The following is a 12,010-nucleotide window of genomic DNA, read 5'->3' as shown; positions in this document are numbered from 1 at the left end:
CATCTGAATTTTCTTCTCTCCTGTCTCTCAAGACAATGCTCAGTCTCCTAACCACATCTCAGACTGCCCTACACTTCAGCCTCTGTCTCTGCTGCCACTTCCCTGCACCTTCATTGGCTCTTGCACCCCCAGGCATGTTCAACCTCTTGCAATTCCTGCATTCCCCATAGTTCATGACCCAGCCTTTGTCCCCACCACCAGCTGGTCCTGGAATACCCCCCAAGGCTCCTTTGTGAACCCTGAGGAGTATTCATGTTCCAAAGTCACAGCACTCTGGAAGCCGCCTCCCTAGGCTGCTGTGGGTCTTTGCTGGGTCCCACTAGTGTCCAGGTCTGTCTCCGCCATGGCCCTAGTGCCATCTCAAGAGTCTGTTAGCTCCTAGACCGGCACTACCTTAGACCATGGGCTTCCTTGATTTATTTTCTCAAGATCCTCAACACCCAGCTTGGGGCCCAAGGCACAGTGAATACATAGTCCATGTTTTTAAATGAATGCATTTATGTTCTAAATGGCTTAAACATTCCCTTGCTTTGTCAGCTGAGAGAGTCTAGAAGCAACAACACCTCACTAGCAATGAACACACCAGTGCCTGGATCTTGGTTTCTAACACCGTTCTAGGAAAGGAGCCAGGGCTTCTTGGAGAATTGACTGATTCAAGGGCAAAGGTGGGACATGCAGAAGATAAGCCTGGAGCATCTTTAGTAGCAGAAATTAAGGAGATGCCCAAAAAGCCAAGTGATGAGCACCTGTCAGAGGCACACAGGAGCCGGGAACCCACCACGGGAGCTCGCCAAGGCCAACCTCAAAGAAGCTGAGCAGGAAAAGAAGCAAAGTCACACTGGAGTCCAGCCCAAGCATGGGCTGAGTATCCATGAGTCCGTAGCAATATAAATAAAAGATTGAGTACATAAGTAATGTGGAGGCATGAACGAGTATTCCCACCCCCCTCCGGAACATTTCCCAGTCACTCATGACTGGAGTCCAGCCCTAGCATGGGCTAAATATCCATGAGTCCATAGCAATATAAATACAAGGATGAGTACATAAGTAACATGGAGGCATGAACGAGTATTCCATCACCTCCTGCCTCCAGAACATTTCCCAGTCACTCATGACTGGAGTCCAGCCTGAGCATGGGCTAAATATCCATGAGTCTGTAGCAATATAAATAAAAGATTGAGTACATAAGTAATGTGGAGGCCTGGAGGAGTATCCCCCCCAGGACATTTCCCAGTCACTCATGTAGCTACTTCTCCTCGGAAGTGGAGCACAACCTGTACCCCTAAGTGTGGGCTGTGTATGGCGATGTCCTTCCAGAGAGGACAGCATGGAGAGGGGGACTTCACAGTGGGGAGACCTCAGCCAGCCGACCACGGCCACCACTGTCAGTGAAGAGTCATGTCAGCAGTGTGTGTACCCTTGTTATGACATGATGAGAATGGCATTTACCTGTGTGGTCTTCCTCCCCAAACCCATAACCCCAGGCTATTTACGAGGAAAACCTCAGACAAATCCCAACTGAGGAGTGTCCTGCAATGCACCTGACCAGGGCTCCTCAAACCATCAAGGTCATCAACGGCAAGGGCCATCTGAGACCCTGTCACAGCCAAGAGGAGTCCAAGGAGATATGGCAGCGAAATGTGATGAGGTCCTTGGCAGAAATGGAAAATTGGGTAAAACCTAAAGAAATCTGAATAAATGCAGACTATTGTTAGTAATAATGCGTCATGGTTAGTGGTGACGAATCTAGCCTACTAATATGTTAACGACGTGAGAAACTGGGTATGAGTATATGGTAACTTTCTGTAATATTCTTGCAAATTTTTAGTACGTCTAAAACTATTGCAAACAAAATAATTTATTTTTAAAATGACCTACCTAAAAGAGGTTAAACTTTGATTACAAATCACCTAAACTCAGCCTGTTTTCAAGACATTACTCTTTGTTATGGTCTGTGGGGGTTCTGAAAATTTTTACCAATATAATTTCCCCTTTTGAAATGGGTTGTTCCAGAATGCCACGCCTCCACAGGTATAATTGGGGTTTCAGATCGGGGGACACACCCCTGAAAGATACCCAAGAAAGAAATAGTCATGAGTCTAGAAATTAAATTTTCTGATGTTCTAGTATTGGTTTTCTTGGAGCATCTGACATGTCTAACACTTATACTGCACCACATCACGGAATCTATTGTACTTTAATGCTGGTTTTTGTTGTTCATTTGTTTTTAACTGTGGATCATTTCAGGGCGGCTTCAGGCTTAGCATTAGACGCTAACAGCAACTCTATTGAATATCTTTCTTTAGGTATCAGCATTTTCTACCTGGGAGAAAGAATTACACAAAATCGTGTTTGACCCACGCTATCTCCTGCTCAACTCTGAGGAACGAAAGCAGGTAACTGGGTGGGAAGGCACTTTGACTGCAGAGACATGGCATGAAAGCGACTGTTGCATCCTGGATCTGGGGAGCTTTTCATTGCTCAATAACAGACACCCATGTTGTAAATTTGGCCAGTGGCTTGCGAGCTTGTGAACAAAAGAGTTAGAGGGACTGAGGAAGGTTATTCTGGTCATTATTCTTACCTCAGTATTTGGTTATGACCCTGGAAGACAAATACTTTTAAAGATGAACATGTAAATTTTAGGAACATTGACCCTCATTCCAAATGACTATAAATCGTATGTTAAAAATATGAAATACTTAAGGTATTATATAAAGATAGTGAAAGAGGTGGTCTTACATAAGACCTTAAGGTTTTATATGCTTAAAATCTTATATAATATGAAAGTTGTCAGAATCAAAATGAAGTCACTAATGTTAAGAAACCCCTAACAAATAGAATGGAGGAAGGCCATGAAGAGAGGGTTCTCATACTTGTATACCTGATAACTAAAAAGACTCTACAAGAACCACAGTCTTGCACACAAGGCCGTCAAAACCTTTTATTTTATTTTATTTCATTTTATTTTAGACAGGATCTGACTCTGTTGCCCAGGCTGGAGTACAGTGGTGCAATCTTGGCTCACTGCAACCTCCACCTTCTGGGATCAAGCCATCCTCCCACCTCAGCCTCCTGAGCAGCTGAGACTACAGGCTCCAGCCACCACGCCTGGCTAATTTTTGTACTTTTTGTAGAGATGTGGTTGCTGTATATTCCCCAGGCTCATCTTGAACTCCTAGGCTCAAGCAATCCTTCCACCTTGGGCTCCCAAAGTGTTGGGATTACAGGCGTGAGCCACCGCACCTGGCTCATCACAACCTTATACACACAAAAAGCACTTCTGCAAGGACACCTGCCCAACAACTGCCTGTCCCTCCTCAGACTGGCTTCGTCCTGTTATGGATCTCTGTAGCCAAAGATAATTATGTCAAAACAATGATTTAATCCTCTCATTTATTTTTCCTTAAAAATTATTGCCTTTTTTTTACCTCCCTGAATATTCTTGTCATTTACGATGGCATGTGTATTCCCATTGCAATGCTCTCTTCCCAAATAAGCATCCATTTCATTTCAGAGAGCCTCTTTCTGCTTGTTCTTCAGGTTGACAATAATAGTGATGAAATAGGAGTGGTCCAGAGAACACTAGCAGCACAGTGAAGGGTGGAGTTCTACAAAACGCCACCCAGAAAACACGGAATTGATTAGAGGGGGTTCTCCGGGGACTATTTTAAGGAGAGACTTGCCAGGGCTCTGCCCTAGCTTTTCACAAAGTAGGTCCCTGAGCCAACACTGCTTTCCATATCAAACAGACGAGGGACAGATGGTGTTGGCTCACAGGAGGGGCCTGTTGTTGCTGGGAGAGGGACCGATGGTCTGACGGCATCAGCGAGCACAGCCTGGGTTTGTGTGGCCCGTGGATCACGTCTGAGAAGGGCCCTGAGATAGACTCTGGAAGGTCCGGACTTCCCTGCCCCAGTTAGACTCCATGTGTGCGGTCACGTCTTGCCCTCTCTTTGCCCTTTGAGTTCAGAAATGATGCACGTGGAAGGGGAGCTATCAAGAAGAGCCGCTGAAAACAGAAGAGCCAGAGTTAATTAGGGGAGGAGGGGTTCTGTGACCAGGGGCCCCCATGTTGGTGTCCACTGGATTTCTCACACCAGCAGAGTCTGATAAAGCCCCAGACGGAGGGTATGGGAATTGCCATTTTATTTTCAATTCTGTCCTCTGCTCATAAAATCCCTTTAAGCAAATGCCTGAGATGGTGTCAGTGAAGCACGAACCCACAGAGTCTCAGTCACATGGACCCGCGTTGCTCGTTGTAACCAACTCCCGCTCTGTCCTCACTCCCGTTCCCAGCCCTCGACCCACCACTCTGCTCATTGGAACTGGACCCTCTCCCTGGAGCAGGCTCAGGGGTAGGCCGGGCAGTGTGACGTGTTCCCGGGATTGACTGCCTTGGAATACAGAACTTGAACCTTTCAAGAACTTGGAATTAATAATATTTTATTGTCTTCTAGCTGAGTTTCATTTTCTATAAAGAAATATTTTAAAATATGTGAAATGTGTCATCACAGCCTCAAAAAATGCTACAATAGAGTTAGCTGAGTTTGGGTGTTATATAATTTTTTCCTATAGCAAAGGAAAACCATAGACATTAATAACTGGTCATATTTCACCCTTTTGTTGCAATTTTAAAAATCAAAAATTTCAGCTATGGGCTGGGCATGATGGCTCATGCCTGTAATCCCAGCCCTTTGGGAGGCCGAGGTGGGCGGATCATCTGAGGTCAGGAGTTCCAGACCAGCCTGGACAACATGGCAAAACCCTGTCTTTACTAAAAATGCCAAAAATTAGCCAAGTGTAATGGTGCTTGCTTGTAATCCCAGTTACTCAGGAGGCTGAGGCAGGAGAATCACTTGAACCCGGGAGGCAGAGGTTGCAGTGAGCCGAGATCACGCCACTGCACTCCAGCCTGGGCAACAAGAGCAAAACTCCATCTCAAAAAAAAAAAGAAAATCAGCTATGGAGAAGCATAACAAGGAGCCTGTGATTTTATGTGACAGAATCACTGGAGGGCATAGGCAGGAGCCATAAACCGGGCAGTGTCTAAAATCATCAGTACATCTGGGGCGTGTGTGGCGTGTGTGGCATGTGTGCTGTGTGTGGCGTGTGGGTTGTGTGTGGCGTGCGTGGCACGTGCCACGTGTGCCACCACCAACTTGTTTGCTGTTGCCAGTTGTTCTCTCTCTGTGCCATGGATACCTTTTGAGGCCGTTAGTCCCTTTAAAAAACATTGAATAAGTAAGATCATTCTCACCGCAAAAAGAAAATTCCAACTTATGATCAAGCCCCTTCCAAATATTCTCGTTTACATGCTACGGCACATCTCTTAGAACAGCTGGGAACACAGGGGCCCAGTCTGCTTGCTGGATGGACGTGGTTCATGGGCAGGGCAGCGCTGGTCCCCTGATGTCTGGGGGACATGGGCATCCCACCCAGGGCTCATCCAAGGGAGCACTGTGAGGCTGGACCTTCCTCAGGCCATCGTCAGAGACAGCAGATGCCAACCCTGATGGAGTTGGGCCTGCCTGGGCTGGTCCTCTGCAAATAGATGAGATGAGAATATAGCTCATGCTAAGTACCCATTGCCTGGGGAAAACCTTTAAACGTCCCTGTGACATCACCCAGAGGAAACTGTGGGCCTGTCCTAACGTCCTGCAACTTGGTCCCAGAAGGTCCAGTGGGAAAGAGGAGGAAGCAGGCCACGCCATAGCCAGTGCACTGGAGGGTCCAGAGAGCGCTCAGAAGAAGTGCCTGCAACCTCATCAAAGGGGAGCATGGCAGCTCGTATGAGGAATGGGATGGAAAGAAATCATAGCTGGACCCCATCCAAAGACCACAGTCCTATTTAGGAAGAAATTGGGTTAGAAGTATCAGACATAGAATCTGTACAGGACCTGGTGTCACACAGCGTTTTCATGGGGAAAGCTAAGGCCCCTGGTGTGAAAATCACAGCCCTTCCTCTGCCGGGGGAGCTGCACAGGAGAAGAGGGTGATCCTACACAGAATCAGGGTCGAGGGAGTGTGAATCAGGCCTGTTTCTATGGCAACAAATAGTGTTTTGTTTTTTTGCGCTAGAACATACAGCAATGATATAACAGCCAGTGGAATCTCTTTTGAAAAGTCATGCTCCACTTTGGATGAAGCTGGTATAATTTGTTAAGGATGAAAAACAAAACCTGCGATGTTAAATTATAGCAGCATAAAATAAAGTAACAGAGCAAAGGGAGAGGAAAGAGAGAAGCATTTGATGAGATGGAGAAATGGTTCTAGGCAGAGAGAGAGAAGCAGGCATTTCTGAAGAGCCCTGACCCCACGGCCAGCCAGGCTTTCTCTCTAGGTCTAAAATTAATAGAGCAAAACTCTAGCTAATGATGGAGCCACATGCTTTTATTTGGATAATAACCCTGCATTAATTTTTTATTAGTTAAATATAAGATAACTAAGAACTTACATTGCTATTTGCCTTGAAGGCATAAGAAGCCAATTATGGCTTGGCGTGGTGGCTCACACCTGTAATCCCAGCACTTTGGAAGGCTGAGGCGGGTGGATCACCTGAGGTCAGGAGTTCGCAACCAGGCTGGCCAACATGGTGAAACCCTGTCTCTACTAAAAGTACAAAAAAAATTAGCTGGGCGTGGCGGCACACACCTATAGTCCCAGCTACTTGGGAGGCTGAGGCAGGAGAATTGCTTGAACCCAGGAGGCAGAGGTTGCAGTAAGCCAAGGTGATGCCATTGCACTCCAGCCTGGGCAATAGAGCAAGACTCTGCCTCAAAAAAAAAGAAAGAAAAGAAAAAAGAAGCCAATCATATTCTTACTTACATATACATGCACATATTCTCAATTTAGGTCATATTTGTGGATGTTTCATTTCGCTGCTGTATCTTCAGGGGACCAGTGGCATTTTGTATTCATAATCCTGTAAAGGTTTGCCACTGCTGACATGGAATCTGAAACAATAAGACAAAGTGGGAAGAAAGCCACTCCGGAGAAGGGGCTGAGCAGTGCTGGGGTCGAGGCTTTCACCTGCCCACCCTTGCTTTCTCATCCCCACTCATTTGGCATGAGTGTAGAAGAAGCTGCCTGCTTGGTCCTCGGTCACATTCTAGGATCTGCCTGGCCGTTGGTTGGATTGGTGCCCAGTTGCTATTTATTGGCCTGATAGGATCCTATGTGGACTTTCTCTTGATATTTTTATTATGTTTGCGTAAACACTTATCTTCAGTTTATTTTTAACGTTCTTGAGTTTGGGGTAGCATTAGGAATGAAAGAACTTTGTCCCTCTTTGACTCCGTAGTCTATAAATGACCATTTTTCGCTGGTTAGAACAATGATCTATCTTACCCTGACAGAGAAGAGGTTCTGTGGCCTGTCACAAAGAGATTGCATCTCGTTATGCGGGCTGCCAGGTTCCAGGAGAAGTGCCCTGGGGCCTTGCCCAGAATTGCCTGCCAGCTGATGTGCATGTCCCTCCCATTGAGGAGCAGGGTTTTCCTGTTTGGGGCAGCATTTGAGATGCATTTCTGGTCAGATGGGAGTGCCCAGTGCCCGAGGGTCAGGCCTCCTGGCCAGTTGTTTCCACACTGATGACCCAGGCAGCCTGGCATCCTGTGACCCCCTCAGAAGAGACCACTTATGCACCCTGAGTCCTCCCCAAGGCACCAGACGCCCAGGTTCACAAGTGGGGATCAGAGATGCAGAATTTACTTTCTTTCCACAAGTTAAGGTCATTTTTGGGAGACTCGAATGTCAATTACGTCACCCTAGGAAGTGACTAGCACGAACTAAGTGCTCTGCTGTGTTCTGGTGCCACTGGCCGTGATGAGGCAGTGGGAGGCCGCGCGTTACAGATGCTGCTCAGAGGGCACAGTGAGGACCACTGCAGCCTACAGCACGGGTTCCAAACCGCCACTTGGTTCCAGACGCCTGCAGAGAGGGCAGCCAAGTCATTCTCCGGGTTTCTCCAGCAGGGCTGCTTCACGTTTGACCCAGAAATGGCGCCTGCATGTAGAGAAATGCCGGGCCGTGTGGGCACCCAGGTTTAATTATTCAGACTGCTTGGATCCTTGAGAGCTATGCTGAAAGGCTGTTGCTCATAACTCCAGCAGCTGTAAACAAGAACAGCTTTTGCCATAGATTCTTGCTGCTTTCTCATGTTGTGCTTGGAATACAAGATTTCATTTCTGATATGCAATTTCATGATGTTTTTCTTCTGTATCTGTGTTTTAAGATATTTGAACAGTTTGTCAAGACAAGAATAAAAGAAGAATACAAGGAAAAGAAAAGTAAATTGCTGCTAGCCAAAGAAGAATTCAAGAAACTTCTAGAGGAATCTAAAGTGTCTCCCAGGTATGGAGAGAGAAATATACCGGATGATTTCTGGGGCTGGGAACTTACCAATGACAAGAGGACTCTTCAGGTTTGTTTTTGTTAAATCGTGTAACCCAGCCTTCCACAGACACGAAAGTGTGAGCTTTGAAGACCTGCCAGTGAGACCAGCCTGGCTCCCCTCTATCATGCTGCCTGTCATGAGCCTCCAAATGTCCCTCTCATCAGTCCTGGGAAAGTGGGCTATTTGCTAACCAAATGCATCACAACCATTTTATTCCTACCCTGCATGCATTTCAAACGTCAGCAGCCCTGACTGACCCAAATAACCAATCAATACGTGAGCACTCATGAGATGAGGTCTAGTTTCTGATCTAATGATCAAGAAGCAAAAATGCAAAGCTGACTACAAACAACAGCACCATAACCCCTACCACACCCCTTGGTTCCAGATGTCTTAACAGTTGGTCCCAGAGTAAAATGAAGATTTGATACACCGGACAAGTGAACTGAGTTAACTAGGTTGCCAAAACTTACTAAAATAATAAATGAGGCATTATTTCCATGAAATAAGACACACTTACAAGAAAATAGATGTTAGAAATTGGAAGAATACATAAGCTTAACTCTTTCTTAAAAATTAGCTTTAATTGACTGATCTTTAAAAAGTAATGAACATGGGCCGGGCGCGGTGGCTCACGCCTATAATCCCAGCACTTTGGGAGACCAAGGCAGGTGGATCACGAGGTCAGGAGATCGAGACCATCCTGGCTAACACGGTGAAACCCTGTCTCTACTAAAAATACAAAAAATTAGCCGGGCGTGGTGGTGGGTGCCTGTAGTCCCAGCTGCTTGGGAGACTGAGGCAGGAGAATGGCGTAAACCTGGGAGGCGGAGCTTGCAGTGAGCCTTGATTGCACCACTGCACTCCAACCTGGGCGACAGAGTGAGTCTCCGTCTCAAAGAATAAAGAAATAAATAAAAAGTAATGAACATGTACTACTTTTAGAACTATAAAACTGTAAGTTTCGTAAGCATAAAAATGGTTAACAATGTATTTTTATTTTAGACTGGAAGATGCAGCATCAGTTTTTTGTTTGTTTCTTTTTTTTTTTTTTTTTTTTTTGAGACAGACCCTCGCTGTGTCACCCAGGCTGTGGTGCAATGGCACGATCTTGGTTCACTGTAACCTTTGCCTCCGGGGTTCAAGCAATTCTCCCTGCTTCAACCTCTCAAGTAGCTGGGATAACAGGCACCCACTACCATGCACAGCTAATTTTTGTATTTTTAGTAGAGATGGGGTTTCACCATGTTGACCGGGCTGGTCTTGAACTCCTGACCTCAGGTGATCCACCCACCTCGACCTCCCAAAGTACTTGGATTACAGGCGTGAGACACCATGCCCAGCCAGAATCAGTTTTTTCTTTCTTTTTTTTTTTTTTTGAGATGGAGTCGCTCTGTTGCCCAGGCTGGAGTGCAATGATGCAATCTCGGCTCACTGCAAGCTCCGCCTCCTGGGTACATGCCAAGTAGCTGGGACTACAGGTGCCCACCACCACACCCGGCTAATTTTTGTATTTTTAGTAGAGAAGTAGAGACGGGGTTTCACCATGTTAGCCAGGATGGTCTGGATCTCCTGATCTTGTGATCCACCCGCCTTGGCCTCCCAAAGTGCTGGGATTACAGGCATGAGCCACCGCGCCTGGCCTGCATCGGTTTTTAAATGGACATTAATTGATGCTTTCTATGAAGGCATAGGCCCCCTTTGTTTGACCTGTGATTTGGTTGATCAAGAATTAGGTGACCTAAGTTAGTGCTAGTTACACAATCCTCATAAAACTTCTCTAGCTATTCTAAGGACAGGTACTTTCTGAATAGGGAAAAAATAGCATGAATTATCTTCATCACAAGTGCTAATGTAGACAAGGAAATGTGTGTCCTGTTGCCTGCAACTTGTGATTTTCCATTGTTAAAGCAGTCATGAGAATGCTGGGTTCTAGCCATGGCTTAGCTGTGTCCACCCACCAGGTGGCCTTGGGACAGAGGCGGAGGAGGCAAGGGCTCTGGAAAGGTGCTGGAGCCCCTTCTCTGCCTTGGTTCACAGCCTGGCCCTGGCCCATCTTCTCCTGGCCATGGGGTAAGTATTGGACCTTCCTGTGCTCCCGAGCCCTCCTCCAAATGGGAGGATGACCACACACACCTCAGAAAGTGACGAGGAGGATGGCGTGAGGAGTTGCAGGGAGGGACCCCGACGGTGCCTGGCAGGCAGGAGGAGCTCCGAAAGTGGTAGCTGTCATTACTGCTATTGAGACCATCATTACTGTTAAAGACATCTGGCCAGCATTCTCTATTGATAAACTAGCAGCAATAAGCCACATACTCCCCTTCCCATGAATACATCATGAAGACAACGGAAAAAATATTCGGAATGCATTGAGCCATTTAAAAAAGATGACATACACACATACACGCACACAGAAGGAAAACGAGTGGTAGAAATTAGAAGGGAGTTAAACGGACTCTTTTTAAAATGAGAGTTAATTGCCTGCTATTTTTTAAAATAAATTTTATTGTATATATTTAAACTATACAACATAATGTTATAGGGCACATAGAGATAAGATGCTTACTATAATGTAGCAAATTATTTTAAAATTTACACTGGGATATATTGCTTTGATAATTATAAAGCTATTTTTTTCATTTTAAAAGTAGCTAAGTTTTCAACATTTCAAAAACTTTTTCCAGATCTTCTGTATACTTTTCTGTAGGCATCCTAGTGAAACATGTACAATTCAAATGACCACATGCTGGAGAGCCAGGCGCGTCCCCATGCAGGCGACGTGGGCCTCTTAGAAGCAGCCTCCTGAGGCTGTGTAGCCTCCTGCAGCCATACAGTCCCGTCCTGGTCGCCCGTCTCAGCCTCGGTCCTGAGCAGCCTGTGGGAATGGTGGCGACGGGACAGTCCAGAACACTCCTGGACAGCCCCTAGCCCCAGCCCTGCCCGCCTCTCGGGAGAGCAGCTACCGGGGACTGGGTCCTAGCCAGGTGGGGTTGGCCGCCCGGTGGGGTTGACGCCCGGTGGGGTTGGCCGTCCGGTGGGGTTGGCCGCCCGGTGGGGTTGACACCCGGTGGGGTTGGCCGCCCGGTGGGGTTAGCCGCCCAGTGTTCCTTCCTGAGAGCTGCAGCAGCCGCCTCCTTCATGGCAGGCTGGCCCGAGTCCCACTTAGCAGAGGGAGAGCAGAGATCCAGGGCCTGTGAATCAGCTGACCTTCGTGAGTTCACACCACAGCTCATCAGCATCAGCAGAAAGCCGGTTGCTGCCCCTTGGCATGGCTAAGGGGCCACGGAAGCGGGAGGCTCCCTTTCTTTTCAGGGACTCTTCTTTTCAGAGAGGCCCAGAATAGGGCCTGTCTAGCAGCTGCCCCTGTCCAGCCCCTAACTGAGAATGTGTAGATGCCTGTCTAGCCAGGGGAGCGTGGAACAAGCCCAGGCAAGTCTGACCGTTTGACTCATCCCCCGCAGGTCGGGGTGGAGTGTGGCTTAGCCAAGGTACACCAAGGTGGTTACATCAGTAAAGGAAGGAAGGGGGAAGGAGGGAGAGAAGGAAGAAAGGAACCGGGAGAAAAGGAGGGAGGGAGAGAAGGAAGGAGGAAGGGAAGGCAGGGGAGAGGGC

At 47.1% G+C, this 12,010-nt stretch overlaps 1 protein-coding gene and 1 long non-coding RNA gene across 3 annotated transcripts in view, besides 1 other annotated feature; one reads left to right on the top strand and one right to left on the bottom strand.

Annotated features, from left to right (window-relative positions):
* Positions 1 to 12,010, top strand: part of TCERG1L (transcription elongation regulator 1 like) — a 219,331-nt gene that overhangs the window by 205,061 nt on the left and 2,260 nt on the right. For both annotated transcript variants that reach the window (NM_174937.4, XM_047424966.1), the window contains 2 exons: positions 2,307 to 2,396; positions 8,237 to 8,355. In NM_174937.4, coding sequence (NP_777597.2) covers positions 2,307 to 2,396; positions 8,237 to 8,355 — 209 coding nt within the window. The remainder of the gene's footprint in view (positions 1 to 2,306; positions 2,397 to 8,236; positions 8,356 to 12,010) is intronic.
* Positions 7,674 to 8,175: an enhancer, noted in NCBI's record as "H3K4me1 hESC enhancer chr10:132896749-132897250 (GRCh37/hg19 assembly coordinates)". NCBI's record gives its function as "activates a minimal SCP1, AML or CMV promoter by ChIP-STARR-seq in primed H9 embryonic stem cells {active_cell/tissue: H9 hESC(primed)}" and the evidence as "EXISTENCE:reporter gene assay evidence [ECO:0000049][PMID:30033119]".
* Positions 10,884 to 11,443, bottom strand: TCERG1L-AS1 (TCERG1L antisense RNA 1). The gene is made up of 2 exons (NR_120623.1): positions 11,362 to 11,443; positions 10,884 to 11,273 (listed from the first exon to the last, which is right to left on the bottom strand). It is a non-coding gene; the product is annotated as a TCERG1L antisense RNA 1 (long non-coding RNA).

Source organism: Homo sapiens, chromosome 10, assembly GCF_000001405.40.
Source record: "Homo sapiens chromosome 10, GRCh38.p14 Primary Assembly".
Taxonomy (NCBI): Eukaryota; Metazoa; Chordata; class Mammalia; order Primates; family Hominidae; genus Homo; species Homo sapiens.
Note: the sequence above shows the minus strand (reverse complement) of the source record. Positions and strands in the feature narration are given on the sequence as shown.